The sequence below is a fragment of the Homo sapiens genome, chromosome 10 (genome assembly GCF_000001405.40).
Source record: "Homo sapiens chromosome 10, GRCh38.p14 Primary Assembly".
Classification (NCBI taxonomy): domain Eukaryota; kingdom Metazoa; phylum Chordata; class Mammalia; order Primates; family Hominidae; genus Homo; species Homo sapiens.
The window spans coordinates 26,542,694-26,569,704 of record NC_000010.11 but is presented as its reverse complement, the minus strand read 5'-3'; the positions used below and the strand labels follow the sequence as shown (position 1 = coordinate 26,569,704).

The window sequence follows — 27,011 nt, the reverse complement described above, 5'->3', positions numbered from 1 at the left end:
GCATTATACAAGAAATTACTGAGTTTTTATAAGCTGTGATACAGGATTACTGTCCTATATTATTGCTTATATATTATTATTCATAACATATATTATTATCCACGTACTCCTTCTCTAGTTCCCAATTTCACTCCAGTTTTTCCACCCCCTGCACCACATACAAATATCTCACTAAACTTTTCATAAAGAAACAAATTTTGCTGCATTTTCAGGATCTAAATAATCCTACTCAGGTATACGTAATACTTGTACAGACCTTTCAGCCAGACACCAAAGATTGCATTACACTTGAGTGAAAATCACAGAATATTATCCTCATGAAAACTCTCGTTTCATGGACTTGGCTGGCTCTATTTGTCAGCATTTTCTTAACGTAAGTGACTCCATTTTGATTCTGACAATTTTCACACTTCTCTTTGCTGACATCTTTCCTGTATTGTCCCAGAGATCTGCATAATGACCATGATTTAGTTGGGTATCAGAAAAGCAGCGTTTTTACCGCATCTAATGTCAAAGGAACATAATAAAATGAGAACTGGGGAGAGTTACTGTTCATGGGATTAAATTGAATGTAAAGCAAATTTACCTTCTATCCTATTTCAAGCATATGCTCCAGAAAAAATTAAGAGCACCCTGCCAGTTTTAATTACTAAATATTTTGGTTTTAAAACTATTCTTTTTTTTTTTTCATTTTAAAGGTTCATTTAAACTGCAGGGGTGTCCAATCTTGTGGCTTCCCTGGGCCACACTGGAAGAATTGTCTTGGGCTACATATAAAATGCACTTACATTAGCGATGATAGGTGATGAACAACAACACAAAAAGTTGAGAAAAATCTCATAATGTTTTTGAGACAGTGTCTCGCTCCATCTCCCAGGACAGAGTGCAGTAGCATGATCTCAGCTCACTGCAGTGTCTGCCTCCTGGATTCAAGGGACTCTCCCATCTCAGCCTCTGGAGTTGCTGGGATTACATGCATGCGCCACCACACCTGGCTAATTTTTGTATTTTTAGTACAGACAAGGTTTTGCCATGTTGGCCAAGCTGACCTCAAACTCCTGACTTCAAGTCATCCATCTGAGTCCACCTCCCAAAAATGCTAGGATTATAGGTGTGAGCCACCACACCCTGCCAAGAGCTATAATATTTTAATTTGTATTGGGCAGCATTCAAAGGGGTCCTGGGCCACCTGCAGCCCATGAGTTGACACAGCATGATTTAGAGCTTACTTTTCTCCAAATATTAAAACATAGCATTAATTAGCTTCCTTTATTTAAAAAAATGCATTATGATTTTCCACTCATTTTAAGAAGATTTTGAGTTTTACAGTTTAAAAAAAAAAACCCCACAAAAATACAAAAACAAAAACAGAGCGATGTAAATAAAACTAAGAAAATGTAAAAGGCCTATCAGAAGCCAATTTGAAAGAGAAGAGATATAGGTACCAAGAACCTAGGATAAATTGGGCATTAAACTTATCTCTGAGGGAAAACATTTCAGGTTGAAGAATATATATATGATTGCCTTTTCCTGCCCCTACATTTTTATTTACAGGATACTAACAGCATTGTAATAACAGAGAATTCAAAAACTATCTAAATAACTATTTTTTTCAATTACTGTTATTCAAGCATTATAAAAGCAAAACCAAAACAGCCAGTGTCCAGGACTCCAATCAATCAAGCCACGGAATCTCAGAGAAAGGAAACAGGCTCTGCTTGTCATGTTTTCTCGTTTTCCTCTCTCGATTTTCCTGCAAATTCTAAAGGTTATAGAGATAGACATGAAAGTCTATCTGAGGTCACCAAGACTTAAGAAGGCATGGGATGTTGAAAGCTATTTTTAATTATAGTGTTGATCTCAAGATAGATTGACCCAATAATCTTTCTAGAAATACCGTCTTCCGGAAAAACGTTTAACTTTTATTTGATGCTTCTGAACATAATAAAATAAATGAACCTAAAACAGCGCTTTAGGCAGCTTGGAAGGGAAGATACATTCCATTTAGGTTAAAATACATGGGAACGATATGTACATTTGGGCAGATATTCTGAACTCTACTGGGTTAATGGTTATGCCTGTACTTGAGCACATCAGTGAGAAGTTTCCCATCACATTTTATCTGAAATGAACAAGATGTCAGGGCAATCTGCTAGCAAAACCTGCGCTCGGGGTCAGCGATGCTTCTCCCTCTGGAACACTCATCATGCCCGTCCCTAGGACACGTTGCCTCTCTTCTTTTGCAAAGCTTTCATGAGGTCTGACATGAAATCTTGCTCCCCGCCTCCTGCTCCGCCGGGGTGCCCTGGGTTCTCTTGCCTCTTGGGGGGCACAGGAGGCCTCTTGGCCACCGCGGGGGGCGGCCTGGCGGAGTCGGGGACGGGGGCGGGCGCGGGCGCGGGCGGCGGCGGCGGCGGCGGGGGCAGCTCTGAGCCCGCGATCCCTGCGTACGACGGCGGGGGCGGGGGCACGAAGTCTGGGGGCGGCTCCATGAAGTCCGGGGGCGGCGGCGGGAGCTCAGGGTCATCGAGGGGCGGCGGCGGTGGCGGCGGCGGCAGGAAGTCGTCGGGTGGGGCGGGCAAGCCCCCGCCGCCTGTGCCCTTGGCCTTGAGGGGCGTGGCGGGACTGCCGCTGGTGTCGGAGGACCTCCGCACCGGAGGGGGCGGGGGCAGGCTGGACTTGGGGGCGTGCGGGGCCCGGGGCACTGCCGGGTCGTGGTGGTTCCCGAGGGCTGGCTTCTTATCCTGCAACCGAGTGGCAGTAGCATTCATTTTTTTTTTAATTTTTGAAATTTTAAATTTATTGTTATTAATTAATGGAGACGGGGTCTCACTCTGTCGCCCAGGCTGAGTGCAGTGGCGCGATCTGGACTTACTGCAGCCTCGACCTCCCGAGCTCAAGCAATCCTCCTGCCTCGACCTCCCGAGTAGCATTCCTTATTCTCAAGGCAGCCCCAGTGGACAAAACAGCCCTAGTGGACAGGGCCATGCCATAGATATGTGAGTCTCTGTCCGCCCCCTGGGGAGCCTCTGTCCCTCAGTCACTGAGACTCCTGGTCGGTCATGAGCTCATCTTTGTTCTGGAATAAGGCAATTATTCTAAATGGTCTTTAAAATTAAAAATAATCATTTTTCTAATTTTTTAATATTTTGGCTGGGCATGGTGGCTCATGCCTATAATCTCAGCACTTTGGGAGCCCAGGCAGGTGGATCACTTAAGTCCAGGAGTTCAAGACCAACCTGAACAATATGGTGAAACCTTTTCTCCTTTAAAAATACAAAAATTAGCCTGGTATGGTGGCAGACGCCCGTAGTCCCGGCTACTGGGGTGGCTAAGGCATAAGAATTGTTTTAACTTGGAAGGTGGAGGATGCAATGAGCTGAGATCATGCCATTGCACTCCAGCCTGGGCAACACAACGAGACTATGTCTCTCTCTCTATATATATTTTTAGAGATGGAGTCTCGCTGTGTTGCCCAGGTTAGTCTCAGACTCCTAGCCTCAAGTGATCCTCCTGCCTCAGCCTCCTGAGTAGCTGGAATTACGGCCACCCCACCTGGCCCAAATGGACTTTAACAGTATTTCCTGTTGTTACAGTGGAACAGCAAAAAAAACGAATGTAACTTACTTCATTTTTGTTTAAAGTGGCCTTTACCCATTCCTGCACATAGGATAATTTTAGAGCACTGATATAAATATGCAAACCCAGCAATCATGTAGTTTTAAAAACTAACTCTGGGATTAAAGAAGTAAACAACTATGTTTTGTTAAAGATTTATATGACCATTGTAACCTGACCAAGGACAGAGTAGTTCCCAACCTCTTTGGACTCTTGTTGGCACCCAGATGTCTGCAGTCTCTGGTCATCTTTTGATCTCAACTCTCTCCCCAACTCTCTCCTCTTCCCCATATCCCACACCCATTAAAATCCTCCAGTTAGCCTGAAAAATTTAAGATTGCACTTTAGAACACTAGTCACCATCTTCATGGTGTTACTGGCTTTCCAAATAAACCACCTTTTCCTCCCATCATCCCTAATCTCTTGAGTCTGGCTTTTAAGTGGTGAGCAGCCAAACCTGGGTTCAGTTACCCTGTGGCACTCATCTACCAAGTCTCCTATAAATGGAAGATCTGGCTATGTTCAATGAGGTGTTTAGATCGTATTTAGATCACATGAGTATCACTTCCTTGGAACTTGCCTTATCCAGGAGTTGCTGTGTGTCTCTAAAGGGGCTTTCGTGGTATATCTCTTGTGGGGTTGGCTCAGTCTATAAACCACCCTCAGCTCATTCATTCCTTCAAAATGGAAGCCAAATGACTTCACTCCTTGGTTCTCAAGCCAAGCCACCAGAGTCCTCGTCATATAGGAAGGGATACATTTTTTCTTGGTCTGAGTTGAGCTGGTTGTGAAGCTCGTGTCAGGAGTAAGCGTCTGTAAAATTATCTTGCTCCTATTCCACACAACACACAGTAGAAACACACAGCAACTCCTGGGGGTTGAGGACTTCCCAAAACCTTCACACAGTCTCCTGGCTTAAATGTCCTACTTTGATTAGGATGAAGGAGATGGAAAGGGAAGAGTGAATGGAAATAGTTCTCTCTTGGCTACAGGTAAGCTTTGTGCAAACGTAGGCACAAAGGATATGTTGCCTGGCAAAGACCTTTCTGCCTGATTTTGGGGACAATGTCTCCTTGTGTTGGTGAGCTGAGAACACAGGTCCATTTTGCCAGGACTGTGGGCTTCTAGGGAGGAGCCGATTACAAGCTTGGCTCCAGCTGGCCTCACAGCTTCAGGGAAGGCAGTGTGGTGGGCCAGGAATCAGGACAGGACATCTGGTCTCTAATAAGTTTACTTTTTCTTTTCTTTATTTTATTTTATTTTTATTTTTATTTTTATTTTTTTGAGGCAGAGTCTCGTTCTGTCACCACGGCTGGAGTGCAGTGGCAGCATCTCCCCTCACTGCAAACTCCACCTCCCGAGCTCAAGCAATCCTCATGCCTCAGCCTCCGGATTAGCTGGAATTACAAGTGTGTGCCAACACCCCCAGCTAATTTTTGTACTTTTTGTAGAGACAGGGTTTCTACATATTGGCCACTCTGGTCTCCAACTCCTGGACTCAGGTGATCCGCCTGCCTCGGCCTCCCAAAGTGTTGGAATTACAGGCGTGAGCCACTATGTCTGGACAGTTTACCATTTCTCAACTGCATGAAACTTGGCTGGTTCACTGGATATAAAATTAGCCCCATAGTCCTCATTATGACTCGTGTCTCAGGTTGTGATGAGATCAAATGAGATAAATATGTGAGTTCTGAAAAGTAAAATCACCAGCATGTGCTATTGGTAGAAACCAGCATGCCAAATTTGGCCTAAGTCTAATAGACGCATAGCCCTTCCTCTGCCAATACTGGAATAGATAATAATAATTTATATAATGAAACATCCCCAGGCAGCTGGATTGAATCCCTCTGTTTTAGTGATAATTATCATTTCAATTTACAGTTTATCAGGGTTCCAGTTCATTTCATTCTCTGCTTAGTGGCCTCTTACCATTGAAGATTAAATTTGGAATTTTTTTCTAATAAAGTGCCTTCTGATTTAGTTTCTATTTTATTTAGTTTATTTACTTCACATGATAAGCTCTTTAACTGGTGATGTATTTTTTCTTTTTATTTAAATTTCTGAACAGGCAGCTTGGGAATTGGTGTTCACATATAGTTAAGTGATTTCTATTCTGAGATTCTTTTATTTCTTTCAGCATTTTTAAATGCTGTCCTTCAATTGGCATTTAGAAATAATGAAAATAATAGTAGCTGAAAGCACATCGCATGAGGAGATTGTCAGGCTTGAGAAGATAATGAGAACATTAAAGAAATACAACGTTTAAAGGTCTGCAGTGGTTGTCAAAATTATAAGTTCGATAAATACCAATATTTAGTTGTTTTCACCACTGGCTGATGGACAAAATGAAGGGGTGAAAGAAGTGAAAAATTGTTGAAGTGAAGCACCCTGCCTGTCCTAGCTGGGTGATATGCTATTGTCACAGTTATTTAAGGTTGTTTTGAATCACACAAGAGAAATATTCAACAGAATATATACAGTCAGCTGAGAAGCTTTGAACTAAATTAGTAACTAAATAATAATTATTAGTTATGATTTTAAGATAGATTTAAAGGAATCTTCACTGATCTATTCGGTTGAAAAAATTTTATGGAGAATTATACCAATTTGGCTATTATTTTACAATGTATTTTCTCCTCCATCACCTGGGGATGTATGTAGGAAGGACATTAATGGGGAAAATAGAAAATACACATTTTTAGTGTAACCCTTCTTTATCTTTTTTCTTTTTTTTAAGACAGGGTCTTTATCTGTCACCCAGGCTGGAGTGTAGTGGTGCAACCAGAGCTCACTGCAGCCTTGAACTCCTGGGCTCAAGGGATCCTCCTGCCTCAGCATCCCAGGTAGTTGGGACTACAGGTGCTCACCACTGTGCCCAGCCCTATTTATAATGTAGCTCTTTTAGCAGTCTTCTAATCTGATTTTGGGGGCCAGTTAGCACTTCATATAGGGCTTCAGACTACTAGTTGCCCTATTTTATTCAAAAAAGGCAAGTAAAATCCCATGGGTTTAAAACTTGGATGTGCTACTATCAGAGAGGGCTAAAATCACTTGACTAAACCAAGAAAACCACTTTGGTCAAAGTAAACATAGCTAATTAACTCCAGAGTTTAAAGGAAATGCTTACATTTTTCCTAAGCAGTGTGATGATAGCTGGTTTTAACTTTTGATTCTAGCATATGTAACTTTAAGATTACAAATATCAAGCAATCAACTAAATTAAATTGTAGTAACTTCTCAGTTGTTGGAACTGCATTTTCTATTTATTTATTTATTTATTTATTTATTTTAAGACTGGATCTTACTCTGTCGCCCAGGCTGGAATGCAGTGGCGCAATCACAGATCACTGCCGCCTTAACCTCCTGGGCTCAAGCAAGTCAAACACCTCAGCCTCCCCAGTAGCTGGGACTACAGGTGCATGCCACCATGCCTGGCTAATTTTTTTTTTCTAGTAGAGACAAGCTCTCGCTATATTGCCCAGTCTGGTCTCAAACTGAAGCTCAAGTGATCCTCCTGCCTCAGCCTCCCAAAGTTCTGGGATTACAGGTGTGAGCTACTGCACTCAGCTTATTTTCTCTTTTTAAAAGAGCAGTTACTGGAATAATGTGAATGGTTTAGAACATGGCTTATAGGGGTCAGCTGCTTGCTGGTTTTACCTTCGATGTTTCAGCATGTCTCTGGGCCTCTTGGAGAACAGCACTGACAGAATGTGTAGCCTGGGGAATCTGTCCATTGGGCTGGGTGGTGCCTGTTTTAGGTCCTGAGAGGGAAGAAGTGAGAAAAGAAGAGTGAGCAAAGCATTTTCAACATTCTTGAAAGTCGATCTGAAAATACAAAGCAGTTTGCATCTCTAAAGCAAAGAAAGATACTTGTTGGCTAGTTCTTACAAAAAAAACAAAAATAAAAACAAAGCAAAGAGAGCAACTCACAGGCATGGCATGGTACACAAAACCTTAAGAAAAATCTGAGGTTCTGTGACAAAACTTTATATGAGATTCAGCAAAAAGATCAGGAAGGTGAGTACGGTATTTGATAAAGCCCACTGAGGAGGGTCTGGACTAACTGGGATCCTGGAGAGTAACAATATGTTTTACTTTTAAAAACTTTTCAGTAATTGAAGAATAAACCTTGAAAACATATTTTTAAAAATTCTTGATTTTTTTAAAATGTATTTATCCAGTTTCACACCACACTGAGTACAGGTACAGGAACAACTCTTCAACATTGTCCTCAACAAAAAGTACATTGGACACAGAAACAACAGACAGAAATTCGGGCAAAATGTGGGGGTCCTTGAAATAATCTGGAATTAGATGTGGTTTTTCCCCCCAAAAGTCCTGGTATGCTATTTTATTTTCCTGCCTTTTAATTTGTCCTTTTGACACAGAACTTTGACTCATGTTACCTTAAAATGTGCTGTCCAGGATTGGGTGCAAGACATCAAAACACCAGGGCATAATCTTATTCTTGGTGTGAACAGTTTTCTGGGCACTAATGGAGCCTTGGACTGATATAATGTTTGTACTTTGATAAGAAACATCTACCTACTAGCTCACTGTAAACAGGAGATCAACACCTCATCCACAGAATATCACGAAAGAAGTGGTCAAAGCTTTGTTAAAAGGCGCTTAAAATAGATACAGGGCTCCAGCCTGGGTGACAGAGCAAGACCTTACCTCCAAAAAAAAAAAAAAAAAGCAAAGAAGAAAAAGAAAACAGGCCAGGTGCAATGGTTCACGCCTGTAATCCCAGCACTTTGGGAGGCTGAGGCAGGTGCATCACGAGGTCAGGAGATCAAGACCACCCTGGCTAACACGGTGAAACCCTGTCTCTACTAAAAATACAAAAAATTAGCCAGGCATGGTGGCGGGCGCTTGTAGTCCCAGCTACTCAGGAGGCTGAGGCAGGAGAACGGTGTGAACCCAGGAGGCGGAGCTTGCAGTGAGCTGAGATCCCGCCACTGCACTCCAGCCTGGGCAACAGTGCGAGAGAGTCTCAAAAAAAAAAAAAAAAAAAAAAAAGAAAGAAAGAAAGAAAAAAAGAAAAGAAAAAGAAAACAGATGTTATAGGGGTGTGTGTGTGAGGGCTGGGCTGAGTCGGGGAGTTTGAGCCTGATCATCAGGTGAGAAACATATTCTGAATGCTGTGTACAAAGTCCTGTTTGTATAGATGTATTGGATACATTTTGAACTGGAGCACCAAGCTTTGAATATGTGTTGGAATTTCTCCTCCACTTAGTACCTGTAGATGGCTGAGCTGGTGCAGCTGCATTGACTGTCCCCAAGTTTGTCCACCGAGAGGCAAGTCCAGCCTTTGCCACAGCCCGCTGGTAGTTATCATAGAGAGTCTTCCCATACTGGGGAGAGAACACAAAGGAAGAAGGAAAGGAATCCATGTATCCCAAATTCTGCACTCAATTGCAATATACATATACAGAAGAAATAAATACTCCACGGCTACTCTGTTCACCACTTGTCTGAGTTGGTTTTTTGGATATTTCCATTAAAATTTAACAAATACACATTCAATCATTTTCCAGATTAACAGAGTCAGTTAATTTTTTCACCTACATATTAGAGAAGAGCTTTGCTCAGTTCTGATTACGTGTGTCTTTATGTAACTCGATCACAGGTTCCATCTTGCGTTTTTTAATTGCACACTAAGCTTGCAATACTCGCCATGAGTAAATATCCGGTTACTGGAGAGGTTCGTGTTTCTATCGCTCCTCCCATTTAGAAAACCCACTGGGCGAATAAACCTGATAATGTCTGTGGCTGAACCCAAGGGTGGGCCAGCTGTTTCACAGTACCAGGAAGGCTGTGCCCAGGTCAGGAAGTTGGCTGGCAAGTTCAAGACAGGGTGAAGTCCGAACGCTCTCTCACCTTGGCTATCCGTATTCCCATGACCCACTGGTTAAGGGTTCTTGTGTCATCACAGCAGAGATACTTGATATACTGGGACTCCTTCTGAATTTGGGGGTGCTAGAAAGAAGCAGTTTCGAGACAATGTATTCACTTGTCATGTATTAGGAGGTCAAAGCACCTGTCAGGAAATTTAAAAAAAATCTCTAACAATATATGTGATTTATGTGGCAAAAATTACTGGTTGTAATGTTAAGATTAGGAAGATAACTTTTAAAAATGACTAAATTTTGAAAGGATTTAAGAAATTTGTTATATGTTGGGAGGCCGAGGCGAGCAGATCACTTGAAGTCAGGAGTTCGAGATGAGCCTGGCCAACGTGGTGAAACCCCATCTCTACTGAAAATCCAAAAAGAAAAAAGAAAAAAAGAAAAAGAAATTAGCTGGGCATGGTGGCGGGTGCCTGTAGTCCCAGCTACTCGGGAGGCTGAGGGAGAATTGCTTGAACCTGGGAGGTGGAGGTTGCAGTGAGCTGAGACTGTACCACTGCACTCCAGCCTGGGTGATAGACCAAGACTCTGTCTCAAAAAAAAAAAAAAAAAGAAAGAAAGAAATTTGTTTTATGATTTATCATAAGCACATCTTTTTAAAAAAAGTTTTTAGAGGCAGAGTTGTCCTGGCTGGAGTGGCACAATCACAGCTCACTGCAAACCTTGAACTCCTGGGCTCAAGAGATCCTCCCTCCTCAGCTTCCTGAGTAGCTAGGACTACAGGTGCACACCACCATGTCCAGCTAATTGAAAAAAACGTTGTTTTTTTTTTTGGTAGAATTGGAGTCTCACTATATTACCCAAGCTGGTCTCAAACTCCTGGCCTCAAGCAATCCTCCTGCTTCAGCCAACCAAAGTGCTGGGATTACAGGCATGAGCCACCATCCCTTGTCTGTAAACACTTCTTACTATATTATCAATAATAATTTTCATTTATGCCTTTTTAACTTTTGGAAGCTTTTCACCTCTATCTTGTCTCTATCCCCATGAGAAATCTGAGCTGCTTTTCCATTTGTCAAATAAGGGAACTTACCTGAGATAATTCTTATGTCATAGAATTAATGCCTATGAGAATTGTGGGTTTATAACTCCCAAAACCTGGTTCTAGGGTTTTTTCTGCTTCCAAAAATTCAGAGTTTTGTGATGACCTTTCCTTCTTAACTGCTATGTGCTGCCCAAGTGGGCCAGTGGCTTCCAGATGGACACCCTGGAGAAGGAATATTTCTGTCTATTACACTTAGTGCAAGTAGCACTAAGCAATGGTTCCGGTTGCTGAACAGGCCTTCCAGGAGCTCACAAAGAGAAGAAGGAAATGGGCAGGTGTGAAAGAGAAACTCCTTGCATTCCTCCTAGTCCTCATTGCTTCTGTTGTTTCTGGTTTAATTTTTATTATTTTTTAAGACAGGGTCTCACTCTGTTGCCCAGGTTGGAGTGCAGTTGTGCCATCACGGCTCACTGCAGCCTCTAACTCCTGGGCTCACGCAATCCTTCCACCTCAGCCTCCTCTGTCGCTGGGACCACAAACATGCATCCATGCTTGGCTTTTTTTTTTTTTTTTTAAAGAAACACTCTTGCTATGTTTCCCAGTCTGGTGCTGAAACCCCGGGCTCAAGTGATCCTCCCACCTTAGCCTCCCAAAGTGCTGGGATTACATGCGTGAACCACCAAGCCCAGTTAGTTTCTGTTTTATGTGTCTGTCTCTGATAGACTGTGTCTTCCATGAAGGTGGGAACTACATCTGTCTTATTCACTGCTGAAGACCCTCAGTGCTTAGCACATGGCCAGCGCATGGCAGGTATTCCAGTCCAGATGTCAGAATACTTGAAGAATCAAGAAACAAGCACAATATTTCCTGTTCAGTTAGAAATCACCGTCATCAGGCGAGGGGCCGGCAACCAAACATAGGTTCTGAGATATTAATATGGGCCATGTAAATTTTCATGGGTCATTATAAGGTTTATTATAATACATTTTATTATGTAGAAAAATAATTAACCACAAGCATCGTGTGTGTGTGTGTGTGTGTGTGTGTGTTTGTGTGTGTGTGTGGTATGGTACCACCTCTTTCTTCTTCCTCCTGTCCTCAGAGGATTCATTAATCCTGCTAGGATAATCCTCATTTGCTGGTGGTGCTGAAAGTGGAATGGAAAGCCAAGAGAGCTGGAAGCATCTATCTGCTCTTCAGTTGGCAGGAAAGGAGGGAAGCTGTCCAATTCCTCTCTTAGGGTATTGCATGGACCTCTCCACTTCTCTTTCGCTTTCCATCTTAAATCACTGACCTCCAAGGAAATGGCTATTCTCAAAGTTGTTCTAAGCAAAGGGTCTCGTGTCTTTAAACTTCAGTTGGAATCTGACTGGCAGCGTCTAGTCACTCTGCTAGACTTTCTAATGACTCAGCCAGCAAGAGCGTGTGGGATTGTAATCTTTGTCCAGAAAGGATAACAAGACCTTTATAGACTCCAAGAGCTTGACGAGAGTTTAGTAATTTTTGGTTTCACAAATGAGAAAACTGAGGCTCAGAGAGGTTACTATATATTCCTCCCTGTGACCCCACTAGAACCTGGGGGTCTCCTGACTAACCACCTAGAATTTCTGTGTTTGTATTAAGCTATTAAACCCAAATCCCAGACTTGGAAGAGACTACGGAAAAATTCAGAAATGATTTTTTAAAAATTCCTCTCTTTGGTCTTTTCAGGCAACTGAGGAAACTCTACTCATATTTTTGTCTTTAAATATGTATTCTCTATGTAGGTCACTCGGCCTCAGAAATTGCATCTCCATTGCTCGAAGAACGGTCAATTCCTATTTGCTTGGGCATAGCAAACAGGAACACAGACATTCTCTCTACCGACGGTGAGAACTTCACATCAGGCTCCTGAATGTTGCTGTAGTTTTCCAGTCTAGCCAGCAGATGACAGCAAACACTTTTGAATGGCTGCTGGGCATTTTACTGTTTTGGCGGTTCAATGCTTACTCCCTCATTCTGAATGTTAGATTTTATTTTTGCAAATGTTACTCCAATAATGATCCTCTTTGGAGGCCCTTAAAATTGGAAATATCTATCAACTCAGGTAATATGGCCCGATAGCAAAAAGGATTTGTTTTCTTAATTAACCTGAAGGTCATATTGATGAAAAATATACTAAAGCCAACACTTATTGGCTGGAACATGACAGCCCACAAATGCCTCCAGCATTCCCTTCAACAATAACATGTGCAAAGCCAAACCAATGCCCTTGTCTTTCAGCACCAGAAACACGGCTCTCTGACCTACAAACAGCATTTGTGTTCTGATTGTCATGTAAGAGAGGCAAGCATTGGTCTCTTCAGCAATTGAATGTTTATAATTGTTCTTAGAAAGCAGCTATTCCACCCACCCCCCACTCAGACATTTAAAAAGCTGACATTGTTACCTTCAAGATAATCTATTATTGTTTTTGGTAGATGTCACGTGAGAACCAAGTTTCCAGAGCAGACTAAATCTCATCGTGTTTGCAACAAAATGCACAAAGCAACTGCTTATATAGAGTTAGCCATTTAACAAGCACCCTAAACAATTTCTTAAGAATGTTATTCATTGAAATAGAGCAAAATGTAGTCACTCCCTTAAAGAAAATGACTTTTGAACATAAAACAGCCCCCTGATGATGGGGTGATAAACCTTGCTATAGGTCAGGTCTCACCAAGTTCCTTCCTTACACTATATGTGTGCTATGGATGTATACAGGAGGATTCTATGACCTCTAAGGTCTCTAGCAATCCTCAGATTTTATGGTTCTAAGATGAGCTACCTAATGGGAAAAAGCTCCTTTCTGGCTCCCTTGGTGATGCAGAAATCGTTCAGCCTTGCAGACATTATAGAGCAAGTCACTGGGCTTGTTCTCCACCGTGTCTTGAGACTTTGCCAAGGAGCTTATTGCCTAACCGAGCCTTTTGCTGAATAATCATTTGCAAAGAGGTTTCAGGAAAATGCTGGTGCAGTGTCACTGGCCAGGCTCTTTCGCAATTGATTTGATTGTTCCCGATCATAAAGAGAGAGAAGCTCTCTTGGGACATGAGAACAGCACACAGAGGTCAGGGCGATTGTGGACTGTCACTGCTTAAAGGGCACTTATAGACCCTCTGAGCTTACGAAATGAGAAAACAGGGTGAGAGAGGGTGAGCAATTTATCCAAGGCCAAAGGTAGTGAAAGAACCAAGGTCCTGTTTGTTCAATAAATATCTCTGGGTGCCAAGAAATATGCTAATTCCTAGGTACATTAAGAGGAGTAAGAGAGGCAGGGCCCCGTGGCTCACACCTGTAATCCCAGCACTTTGAGAGGCCAAGACAGGCAGATCACTTGAGGCTAGGAATTTGAGATCAGCCTAGGCAACACAGTGAAACCTTGTCTCTACAAAAAGTACAAAAATTAACCAGGTGTTGTGGCACACACCTGTAGTTCCAGCTACTAGAGATGCTGAAGTGGGAGGATAGATGGAACCAGGTGTTCGAGGCTGCGGTGAGCCATGATTGTGCCACTGTGCTCCAGACTGGGCTGGAGGAGACCCTACCTCAAACAAACAAACAAAAAAACAACAAAAAGAGGAATAAGAGAGCTCATGTGTTAATTGGGCAATGCTCCCTGGAGGTGTTTTAGGGAGAGATGTATGTAAACACCTGATGTAATCAAATCACATATGTAATGTGATTATGAAATAGTATGTTCCATACTAAAAGTTTGAAAATGGGCCAAGAGAGGGTCTTTGGAAGAAGCGACAGAATGCTGTAATATATTTGGAGAACATGGAGAAATTCTGTATGGCTGAGGTCTGGAAACCATGGAATGAAGAAGCAGAAATTAAGCTGGTGTGGAATCTGAGTAAAGACCCTTGAGTCAAACTAGAATCTAGACATGATCCCCTGGGCAGTGGGGGGCACTGGACATTTTAAAACAGCACAGTGACACAGGAAGTCACTGGGGGCTATGAGGAAGATGGATCTGGAGTGAAGAATAAGATCGAACTGAGGGAGGGCTCAATGGGAGATCTTGATGGGAAATAGAAGAACTTGCTCATAGATTAACGAGAAATGGGGACAGGAAGAAAATCAGGCATGCTTTTTCTGTTTCTAGCTTGGTAGAGTAGGTGGATGTTATGGGTTTAATTATCTCCCTCCTCCTAAAAGCTATGGTACTCACTCCTGGTACCTATGAATGTAACCTTATTTGGAAATAGGGTCATTGCCAGATGTAATAAAGTTAAGATGAAGTCATCCTGATGAAAGTGGGCTCTAAATCCAAAGAGACTGGTGTAAGCCGGGTGTGGTCGCTCACACCTGTAATCATAGCACTTTGGGAGGCCAAGGTGGGTGGATTGCTTGAGCCCAAGAGCTCAAGATCAGCTTGGGCAACATAGCTAAACCCCATCTCTGCAAAAAATACAAAAAATTAGCCAGGTGTGGTGGTGTGCACCTGTAGTCCCAGCTACTTGGGAGGCTGAGGCAGGAGGATCACTTAAGCCCAGGAAGTTGAGGCTGCCATGAGCTGTGATCATACCACCACACTCAGCCTGAGCAACAGAGTGAGACCCTGTCTCAAGAAAACAAAAAACACCAAAACCGACAAAAAACAAGCAAACAAAAACAACCACCAAAATGACACGTTCTTATAAGAAGAGAAGAAACAGACACAGACAAAGACAAAGAAAGAAGATAGTCACATGTTGAGGGAGGCAGAGATTGGCACACGCAGCTGCAAGCCAAGGAATGCCAGCACTGCTGGGAGCTGCCGGAAGCTAGAAGAGGCGTGGAGGCATGGAACAGATTTTGCCTCTGAGCCCTCAGAAGGAACACAACTCTGGTTTTGATTTTGGACTTCTGATTCCAATATCACCTTGATTTGGGACTTCTGGTCTCCTGAACTCTTCAATAAATAAATTTCTGTGAAGTTATCTAGTTACCAGCAGTTTGTTACAGCAGCTCCAGAAAACGAATAGAGTAGGTGATGGTGCCATTCATCCTTGAGGGACTGTGGAAAGCAGGGGGTGGAGGAAATGTTGAAATCAGTGTGCATGATAGAGGTACCCCTTGGACATGTGGTTACTGCACGTGTGGAGCTAGGGAAGAAGGTGAGACTGTCCACTACGGATTAGGAATTATTTGTCTCCAACACAGACAATGGTTGGAGCTGTGGCTGTGAATGTGATCTCAGCGAGAGCACGGGGAGTCTGGTGAGAACTGAATTTAGGACCCTGGAGAGCATTACAGTGTGTAGGGAAGGAGGAGGCACCAGCAGAAGCAGAGTAGGGGTCCAGTTTGAAGACCATAAAATGAGGATGCTGTCATCAATGCAAAAGATGCCATGAGGACTGGAGAAAGCCACTATTCTTTGGAAATCTTAATAATAGCAGTTTCCACAGAGGTGCAGGGAGAAGCCTGCTAGCATGCAAACTCCACAAAGCCAGAGGCCTTTGTTTTGTTTACCGATGTACCCCCAAGTCTGAATAAAGAAAATTCAAAAGATATATGTATACATTCGTAGAGAAAGGGTCTGCCTCTGTTGCCCAGGCTGGAGTGCAGTGGTGCAATCATGGCTCCCTGCAACTTCCAACGCCTGGGCTCAAGTGATTCTCCCACCCCGATCGGCCACCTGAGGAGCTGGGACCACAGATGTGCGCCACCATGCCCAGCTAATGTTTTTAAATTTTTTGTAGAGACGAGGTTTCACAATGTTGCCCAGGTTGGTCTTGAACTTCTGCTTTCAAACAATCCCCCTGCCTCGGCCTCCCAAAGTGCTGGAATTACAGGTGTAGGCCACTGTGCCTGGCTGAAAGGAATGTTGTTGAATGAATGAATTAAACTATGAGAATAAAAGTTGAGGCCGGGTGCGGTGGCTCACACCTGTAATCCCAGCACTTTGGGAGGCTGAGGCAGGTGGATCATGAGGTCAGGGGTTCGAGACCAGCCTGACCAACACGGTGAAACCCTGTCTCTACTAAAAATACAAAAATTTGCTGGGTGTGGTGGCGGGCACCTGTAATCCCAGCTACTCAGGAGGCTGAGGCAGGAGAATTGCTTGAACCTGGGAGGCGGAGGTTGCAGTGAGCTGAGATCGCGCCACTGCACTCCAGCCTGGGCGACAGAGCGAGACTCCATCTCAAAAAAAGAAAAAAAAAGTTGAGGACATGGAGGGCATCATCACTTTCTCAGGAAGTCTGAGTTAAAGAGAAGACAGAGGTCAAAGGTGCTGCTTGAAGAGGTGGGGCAGATACCACTGAGGGGAGTGAGTTAGAGCCCCCAAACCAAGGAATATTTGAAAATGTCTGTGGCCCAAGGAAAAGAGAAGAATTGTCTGCAGAGGGTTTGAAGATGCTGAAGCCAAAGGGAGTGGCTGACGATGTGGTTCCAGAGGCCACGTTGGAGATAGGAGCCTTCTTCCTCTGAGATGGAGAGTCAGGAGGTAGGAGAGTTACTGCGTGGGATAAATTTAGAAGTAAACAGGAAGTAAACTGGGACGATTCAATCCTGTTCTCCGTTTTCTTTCTTATCCTTCCTTTTTTTTTTCTTTCCTTCTTTCTTTCTTTCATTCCTTTCTTTTTTAGAGGTAGGTCTTGCTCTGTTGCCCAGGCCACAGTGCAACAGTGTGACTGTGGCTCACGGCACCCTGAAACTCCTGGCCTCAAGCAATCCTTCTGCCTCAGCCTCCTGAGTAGCTGGGACTACAGGTGTGCACCACCACACCAGGCTGATTTTTAAATATTTTGTAGAGACGGGGGTCTCCCTATGTTGCCCAGGCTGGTCTCGAACTCCTAAGGTCAAGTGATCCTCCTGCCTTGACCTCCGAAAATGCTGGGATTACACACATGGGCCACAGTGCCCAGCTAATTAAGCATTTCTTTAGAGACAGAGTCTCACTCTGTTGCCCCGGCTGGAGTGCAGTAGTGTGATCATAACTCACTGCAACCTTGAATGTGGGCTCAAGGGATCCTCCTGCCTCAGACTTCTGAGTAGTGGGAACTATAGGTGCATGCTACCACACCCTGCTGATTTAAAAAGTTTTTCTGTAGAGATGGGGTCTTGATATGTTGCTCAGGCTGGTCTCGAGCTCCTGGGCTCAAGCGATCCTTCTGCCTTGGCCTCCCAAAGTGCTGGGATTACAGGCATGAGCCACTGTGCCTGCCCTGAACCATGTTTTGAAGGACACAATGGTACAAGGGGCTTTGATCTGTATTCCATCCATCCATCCATCCATCCATCCATCCATCCATCCACCCACCCATCTGTCCATCCACCCATCCATTAATCTATCCATTCATCTGATATGTATTGAGCATTTACAATGTGTCAAATATCACTCCAAGCTCTGGAACACAATAGTGAACACAATAGAAAAAGTCCTTGCTCTCATGACATTTATATTCTACTATGGGAGAAAGCCAATAAAAATACAAAACACTAAAGTAATATAATTTTTCATTGTGAAAAATACTGTAAAGAAAAATATAGCTGAGTAAGGGGTAGGAAGCAGGTGAGCGACGGGGCGGAATTCCAGCGCTCCTTCCATGACATTCCACTACTTCCTAACGGGCCTCCATAGAAACATAACTTCTCCTGGAAGATATTTACTTCTGCCCCATTGCATCTAGCCCCAGAATGGAATGAGAAAGAATGCATGAAGGAACGGCTTCTATCCACGCACAAAAGTGCCTTTATGAGGGCTAAGGAAACTGACCGTGAGTGAGACTGGGAAGCCCCGCTGGACTGCAAAAATGAGTGAAACCGCAGTTGGACGGTAAGGGGATGGTTTCCCCTGACTATGTTGCCCCTCCCCTGAGCCACTGCGGTACCCACACATGGAAAGTCCCCCCGGACTCACACTCAGGTTTCTTACCACACTGGGTCCTTCTGTGGGAGGCTTGCTTCTGCATGGGCCTATGGAGAGCACTGTGAGTACCAAGTACCAACGGGGCTGAAACACGTGAGGCCAGCAAGGGACAAAGAGAGGGAGTGGGGCTAGCAGCAGCCAGGTGGACAAATTTGGCAGTGGCTCACCTTCCCTGCCAGATGTGATGATACACCAGATGGGCTGTTTATGCTGTGCTGTGGGAGGCATGGTCCACAGAACCTCTGGACCTGAGAGCCTGACCGGCTTTCCCACACCATCCAGTGGGCCCTCTGTGGGTCTCCCAGGGCCCATGCAGTTTGAACAGTGTATCCTCGGCAGAGTTAGTGTAGGATTCGGGTCTAACCTGGACTTAGGAGGCCCTCTAGTGCTGAAATGACATACAAAAGTCAATCTGCTCACAATTTCTGCATACGCCCACTAAAAAAGAACGGTCATAAACAAATCCAGACAGGGAAGACTGAAATAAATACCTAACTCAACAATGCAAAGACAGAGCCCAATGTCTACAAGGAGTAAGAATAGCCTAGAAAACATGGTCTCACTAAATGGACAAAAAGAGGTGCCAGCTATCTGGCAGACAAAGAATTCAAAAATAGCTGTTATAACAAAACTCAGCAAACTTCAAGAAAACACAGAGAAGCAATTCAGAAATTTATCAGAAGCATTCATCAGATAAATAGAAATAATTAAAAAAACAAACAAATCCTAGAGCTGAAAAGTATAACAAACAAAATGAAAAATGAAACAGAGGACATCAACTGCAGAATTGATCAAGCAGAATAATCAGTCAGCTTGAAGGCAGGCTATTTGAAAATACATAGTCAAAGGAGAAAAAAGGAAAAAAATGAAAAGGAATAAAGAAAAAATTACATGACCCATGGGACATCATCAAAAGAGCAAATCTACATGTAACTAACTTTAAAGAGAGAGTAAAGAATGAAAAGGGATAGAAAGCTTATTCAAATAAATAATAATAGAAAAGCTTCCAAATCAGAAGAAAGATACAAATATCCAGGCACAGGAAGGTCAAAGGTCACCAATCAGATTCAACCTAAATAAGAATACTCCAATATATATCATAATCAAATTCTCAAAGGTCAAAGACAAAGCGATGCACCTGAAAGCAGCAAGAAAAAAAAAGCAAATAACACATAAGGGAATTCTAATATGCCTGGCAGCAGACTTAGCAGAAACCTTGCAGGCCAAGAAAGAGTGGGACAATATATTCAGAGTGATGAAAGATTAAAAAAAAGATTAAAAAAAAAACCAAGAATACTGTACCCAGAAAAGCTATTCTTCAGAAATGAAGGAGATAAAGACTTTTTCAGCCAAAGAAAGCTCTCAAATAAACAATCTAATGATGCATCTCAAGGAACTAGAAAAAATAAGAACAAACTAAACCCCAAATTAGTAGGAGAAAAGAAATAATAAAGATCAGAGCACAAATAAATGAAATAGAGATTAATTTCATTCATTTGAAAAAGAAATATTAAGGCTAAAAGAGGCTAAAACACAAATATTAATAAAACAAAGAGTAAGTTTTTTGAAAAAATAAAATTGAGAAACCTTTAGCTAGTCTAAGAAAAAAAGAAAGATGACTGAAAGAAATAAAATGAAAGATGAAAAGAAAGACATTACAACTGATACTACAGAAATACAAAAGATCATAAAAACTACTATAAATAATTACACACTAGCAAAATGGAAAACCTAGGAAAACATGACTAAAATCCTAGATGCATATAACCTACCATGATTGAAACAGGAAGAAACAGAAAACCTAAAAAGACCAACAATGAGTAATGAAATTGAAGCTGTAATAAAAAGTCTCTTATCAAAGAAAAGCCCAGGACCTGATGGCTTCACTGCTGAGTTCTAGAAACATATAAAGACTAATTCTTCACAAACTATTTCAGAAAATTGAAAAGGAGGAAACTCTTCCAAACTCATTCTATGAGGCCTACATTATCCCAATTCCAAAACCAAACATGGACACAACAAAAAAGAAAACCTTCAGGCCAACATCCCTGATGAACATAGATACAAAAGTCCTCAAAAAAATACTAGCAATCCAAATTAAATAGCATATTTAAAAGACCATTCATCATGATCAAGTGGGATTCATCCCAGCAATACAAGGATAGTTTAGCATATACAAATCAATAAATGTGACACATCACATTAACAGAATAAAGATTAAAAACCAAATGCTTATTTCAACAGATGCAGAAAAAGCATTTGACAAAAATTCAGCATCTCAACAAATTAGGTATAGAAGAAACATACTTCAACGTAATAAAGTTTATATATGTTAAACCCACAGCCAACATCACCCTGAATGGGAAAAAATTAGAAGCTTTTTCCCTAAGATCTCAAACAAGATAAGGATGCCCACTTTCACTGCTACTATTCTGCATAGTACTGGAACTCTTAGCGAGACCAACTAGGCAAGAGAAAGAAAGAAAAGGCATCCAAATTGGAAAGGAGGAAGTCAAATGGTCTCTGTTTGCAGACAACATGATCTCATATGTAGAAAATCTCAAAGACTCCACCAAAAAAACTGTTAGAACTAATAAACAAATGCAGTAAAGTTTCACGATAGAAAATCGGCATACAAAAATTAGTAGCATTTCTATTCAACAGTAGCCAACTATCTGAAAATCAAGAAAGCAATCCCATTACAATACCTACACAAAAATAAAATACCTAGAAATAAATTTAACCAAGGAGGAGAAAGAGCTCTATGACGAAAACTATAAAACAGTGATAAAAGAAGGTGAAGAGGATATAAATGGAAAGATATCCCGTGTTCATAAATTGGAAGAATTAATATTGTTATAATGTCCATGCTACCAAAAGTAATTTACAGATTCAAAGCAATCCCTTGAACAATGAGAACACATGGACACAGGAAGGGGAACATCACACACCGGGGCCTGTTGTGGGGTCGGGGGAGGGGGGAGGGATAGCATTAGGAGACATACCTAATGTTAAATGACGAGTTAATGGGTGCAGCACACCAACATGGCACATGTATACATATGTAACTAACCTGCACGTTGTGCACATGTACCCTAAAACTTGAAGTATAATAATAAAAAAAAATTTTAATGTCATACTTCACACAGAAATAGAAAAAAGCAATCCTCAAATTTATGTGGAAACACAGACTCCAAATAGCCAAAGCAACCTTGAGCAAAAAGAACAAAGCTGGAGGAGTCACAAACTGATTTCAAAATATACTACAAATCTATAGCAGTGTGGTATTGGCATAAAAACAGACACATAGACCAATGGAACAAGATAGAGAGTCCAGAAATAAATCAATGCATTTAGAGCCAACTGATTTTCAACAAAGGTGTCCCCCACAAAAGAAAAAGAAGAAGAAAAACAAACCAAAAAAGTCACATTGAGGGAAAGATAGTGTCTTCAATAAACAGTGTTGGGTTAACTGGATATCTACATGCAAAGCGTGTAACTTGACCCCTATTTCTCACCATAAACAAAAATCGACCCAAAATAGATTAGTTAATATATGACCCAAAACTGGCCGGGCGCAGTGGCTCATGCCTGTAATCCCAGCACTTTGAGAGGCCGAGGTAGGCGAATCACCTGAAGTCAGGGGTTCGAGACCAGCCTGGCTAACATGGTGAAACCCCATCACTACTAAAAAATACAAAAAAATTAGCTGGGAGTGGTGGCGCGTTCCTGTAATCCCAGCTACTCGGGAGGCTGAGGCAGGAGAATTGCTTGAACCCGAGAGGCGGAGGTTGCAGTGAGCTGAGATCATGCCATTGCACTCCAGCTTGGTCAACAAGAGCGAAACTGTGTCTCAAAAAAACAAAACAAAACAAAGCAAAACAAACAAACAAACCAACAAAAAGAAAGACCCAAAACGGTGAATCTGCCTAGCAAGGAAAACAATCAACAGAGTAAAGAGACAACCTACAGAATGAGAAAAAATATTTGCAAATTATACATTTGACTAAGGGTTAATAAGAAGAATATATAAGGAACTCATATAACTCACTAGCAAAAAACCCAAATAATCCAATTTTTAAAAAATGGACAAAAGACGTGAATAGATATTTCACCACAGAAGACATACACAGGGCCAATAGGAATTTAAAAAATGCTTAACATCACTAACCACCAAGGAAATGCAAATCAAAACTACAATGAGATTTTGCATCATCCCAATTAGAATGGCTATGATAAAAGGACAAAAAATAGCAAATGCTGACAAGGATGTGGAAAAACAAGAACTCTTATGCACCATTGGCAGAAATGTAAATTAGTCTAGCCATTACAGAAAACAGTATGGAGGTGCCTCAAAAAACTGAAAATACATCTACCATATGATCCAGTATTTCCACTGTTGGGTATATATACAAAGGAAATGAAATCAATATGTCAAAGAGACACCTGCCCTCTCATGTTTATTGCAGCACTGTTCACAATAGCTAAAATATAGAATCAACCTAAATGCCCATCAGTGGATGAATAGGTAAAGAAAATACAAAAATATTTAGATTCCACTCATATGTGGAATCTAAAAGAAAATGATTTCATAGGAGTTGAGAGTAGAATAGTGGTTACTAGAGACCGGAGAGAATGGGGAGAGAGGCTTGTCAATGAGTACAGTGTTATAGTTAGGAAGAATAAGTTCTGGTACACTACTGCAAGGTAGGGTGACTATAGCTAACAATAATGCATTGTATATTTCAAACAGCTAGAAGAGAGGATTTTATGATAAACGTTTGTGCTAATTACCATGATTTGATGATTACACAATGTTTACATATATCAAAACATCACATTGTGTGTCATAATGTACAATTACTATGGGTTAATTAAAAAATAAATGAATAAATACAAAGGCAAAAAATAAAAGCAAATTTCTGGGCCCAATCCCAGACTTACTAAATCAAAAACCCTGGGGGCCTAGCAATGTGTGTCTTAACAATCTAAATGGTTCTGATGCATACTAAAGTTTGAGAACCACTGGTTAATAAATAGATTTATTTAATACCAGAGGGCAATAATAACTACCACTTACTAAGTGCTGATATGTTTCTAGACATTGCACTAATGATTTTGTAGGCATATCATATTTAATTATCAAAAGAAGGGCTGGACGCTCTCATCTCTTGAAGATGTGCAGTGAGGCTTAGCATCTTATTAGTGACCCAGTTACTAGGTGACAGGGCCAGGACTCAGACGCCAATCTTTCTGACAGGACCTTTCATGAACAGCCATAGTCATCAAGCTCATATTGAAGAATAAACTTTAGCCTGGCCTTATCAGGCCATGAAATCATGCAATCTTTTTTTTTTTTCTTTGAGACAAAGTCTCACTCCGTCGCCCAGGCTGGAGTGCAGTGGCGTGATCTTGGCTCACTGCAACCTCCACCTCCCGGGGTTCAAGCGATTCTCGTACCTCAGCCTCCTGAGTAGCTAGGATTACAGGCGCGTGCCACCACGCCCAGCTAATTTTTGTGGTTTTTTTTTGTTTGTTTGTTTGTTTTTTTTTTGAGACGGAGTCTCGCTCTGTCGCCCAGGCTGGAGTGCAGTGGCGCGATCTCGGCTCACTGCAAGCTCCGCCTCCCGGGTTCACGCCATTCTCCTGCCTCAGCCTCTCGAGTAGCTGGGACTACAGGCGCCCGCTACCACGCCCGGCTAATTTTTTGTATTTTTAGTAGAGACGGGGTTTCACCGTGTTAGCCAGGATGGTCTCGATCTCCTGACCTCGTGATCCGCCCGCCTCGGCCTCCCAAAGTGCTGGGATTACAGGCGTGAGCCACCGCGCCCGGCCTAATTTTTGTATTTTTAGTACAGATGGAGTTTCACCATTTTGGCCAGGGTGGTCTCAAACTTCTGACCTCAGGTGATCCATCCGCCTTGGCCTCCCAAAGTGCTGGGATTACAAGCACGTGCCACCGCACCTGGCCTAAGTCTGTTAACATGCCTCCCTGTATCCTTAATCCCTCTTGCAATCTACACACTCATTCTTTGCATTTTGGAAATTGGCTCACCCTAATAAAGAATAGCAAGAGTTTTTATTTTTTTAAAACAGCAGACAAAAAGGGAAATAAGTGACCACAATGTTCATAAACAAATTAGGTTCTCCAAACCTCAACAGTTATCCTTTTACTCAGCAAATTAATAAGAATTCTCAATATTTTGGGAGGGAACTGAGAAGCATGCTTAAGAACAAAATGAGCAGGGTGATTGCACATGAGGAAATTGGCTTTAGAACAGAACAGATCATCATCCTGAGAGAAAAGGAAATACACATTCTGCAAGGGTTGCTCATGACTCTTGCTCCCAGATCCATCAGTCCTGCTGGTTTCTCCACCTCTGAGCCCCCTCTCTCCTTTGGGGAGATCCTCAACTCTCTCTTGTAGACCTAGACCTTGGATAGCAGGAAGTTTTAGAAATTCTGGTTCAATACTCTGGGACTTAGGATTTCTATTCTTGGTGTAATCTCAGGATAACCTCATGTTCTAGGTCAGACCGTTCAAGTCCTGCCAATTGTAGGTCCTAGTCCCAAACTTATGTGTCAGTTTGAGAAACTGAGTCCCTCCCCTGTTCACTGTGTCTAAATCCCCATGCTGGGAACCTCTTGTCAGAGACCTTGTCTTTTTCTTGACAGACACCCCTGCTCTGGCTTCTGGACCCCAGCCCTGGGGTTTGGCTCCTGCTTCCTTCTGCTAGACTTTCATCCTGTCTGCCCACTCTGAAGGCCATTTAATCACCAGCTAAGCCATGAGTACTGATGGTTAGAGTGAGTTCTAACACTCAGTAGAAAACTTGACCATGCTTAGGAAAAATGAAGATTCCTAGGCTCCATCCTTAAACCCTAACCCTAACCCTAGGTTCCATCATTATTTTGATTTAGTGGGCCTAGGGCCTGGGAACCTGCATTTGTAAAGAGTCTCCAGTGACTGATTCAGCCAGTTTACTGACCAGTGTTTCAGAAAATTTCTCCAAAACCTTCTCCTGATTTAAGAAGTGTGGACAAGTCTTTGGCAATAAAGTGTGTTGGAATGCTCCATTTTGGTAATTTATCAGGGTCTTAGGATTCCAGACATGGGAAGATGTGACTCAAGGGCAGGTGGCATTGTGGGAGGGACAGGGTAGTGGGCGATGCTTTGTGTCCAGATCTCTGGGGGCCTGAGAAACTGTCTGAGAGAACGGCCTCTGAGCCGCACTGCCTGAGTTCTCATTCTGACTTGGCCACTTCCTGGCTGGGGAGTCTCTCTGCACACATACCACATCTACAAAGAAAATGCCATATAAGTGCTTGCCATTATTCTTATTTTTCCTATATCAGGAACAGACAAGGAGGGGCGAGGAGCAGAATCAGGCAGGGCATGCTCCCCATCTCTCTTCCTTCGGAACAAACAGACCTCCCTCACCTCAGGGCTTTCCAATTCCTGTTCTTATTCCTGGAGGGCTCGTACTGCAGATAATTCTTGCTCCCTCACCTCATTCACATCTTTTGTCAAATGTCACTTCCTAGAGAGCCTCTCTGTGAACACCCCATCCAAAGGAGCCCTGGCCCCAGCCCTACCTCATATTGCTCCTTGTTACTACTTGACATCACATTGCATATTTTTTTGTTCTTTGCCATTTTCCTCATGTTGAATGTAAACTCCATGAGGACAGGGATTGTTGTATTTTTTTAATTGCCGCATTCCCACCACTATTCCAGGTGATGGGAATGCGGCAGTGAAAATAATAATGATAATAATAATCCTTGTCACTCAACAATAGTTGTCATTCAACACATTTTTTTTCTTTTTCTTTTCTTTTTTTTTTTTTGAGACAGAGTCTCTCTCTGTCGCCCAGGCTGGAGTGCAGTGGTGCGATCTCGGCTCACTGCAACCTCCGCCTCCCGGGTTCAAGTGATTCTCCTGCCTCAAGCCCCCCAAGTAGCGGGACTAAAGGCGTGCACCACCACGCCCAGCTACTGTTTGTATTTTTAGCAGAGACAGGGTTTCACCATGTTGGCCAGTACGGTCTAGAGTCCTTGGCCTCAAGTGACCTGCCTGCCTCAGCCTCCCACAGTGTTGGGACTACAGGTGTGAGCCACCGTGCCCGGCCGTCATTCAACAAACATTAAATGACTGAATGAATGAGTGAGTGAACGGATCCAGCCTTCTCCCGGCCTTCAGTGCTTTCACAGTCATTATTCTGGGGCTCTTCTGTCTAGGGCAGGTTTCTTGACAGCAGCACTGTTGACATTGGGGGCCAGAGAAGTCTTTGGTGTGGGGGTTTTCTTGTGCACTGCAAGGTATTTAGCAGCATACCTGGCCTACTAGATGTCAGTAGTCCCTGCTCCATGCCCCAAGCTATGACAATCAAAAATGTTTTTAGGGTTCGCCAAATGACCCTTGGAGGCAAAATGCCTGGTTGAGAACCACTGGGGGAGTATCAGGCTGACTGAGCTAGTATAGTGGTTTTTATTATTAATATTATCTGTAAATAATTAAAAGTGGATGCTTAGGAATTAAAAAAAAAAGGCTAGGACATCTGAATGAAAGTCACTGAATATCCTGAGTCCTTGATAAAGCCAAGAATTTCAACCAATTATT

General features: G+C 42.5%; 1 protein-coding gene across 2 annotated transcripts in view, besides 1 other annotated feature; it reads right to left on the bottom strand.

The window, feature by feature from the left end:
* Positions 1 to 1,901: 1,901 nt before the first annotated feature.
* The window catches only part of APBB1IP (amyloid beta precursor protein binding family B member 1 interacting protein), a 129,463-nt gene continuing 104,353 nt past the window's right edge, over positions 1,902 to 27,011 (bottom strand). For both annotated transcript variants that reach the window (NM_019043.4, XM_011519514.3), the window contains 4 exons: positions 9,502 to 9,600; positions 8,861 to 8,975; positions 7,276 to 7,379; positions 1,902 to 2,744 (listed from right to left, as the gene is read on the bottom strand). In NM_019043.4, coding sequence (NP_061916.3) covers positions 2,217 to 2,744; positions 7,276 to 7,379; positions 8,861 to 8,975; positions 9,502 to 9,600 — 846 coding nt within the window. In that variant the 3' untranslated portion in view covers positions 1,902 to 2,216. The remainder of the gene's footprint in view (positions 2,745 to 7,275; positions 7,380 to 8,860; positions 8,976 to 9,501; positions 9,601 to 27,011) is intronic.
* Positions 18,249 to 18,638: an enhancer, noted in NCBI's record as "active region_3170". NCBI's record gives its function as "activates an Ori minimal core promoter by ATAC-STARR-seq in GM12878 lymphoblastoid cells {active_cell/tissue: GM12878}" and the evidence as "EXISTENCE:reporter gene assay evidence [ECO:0000049][PMID:35858748]".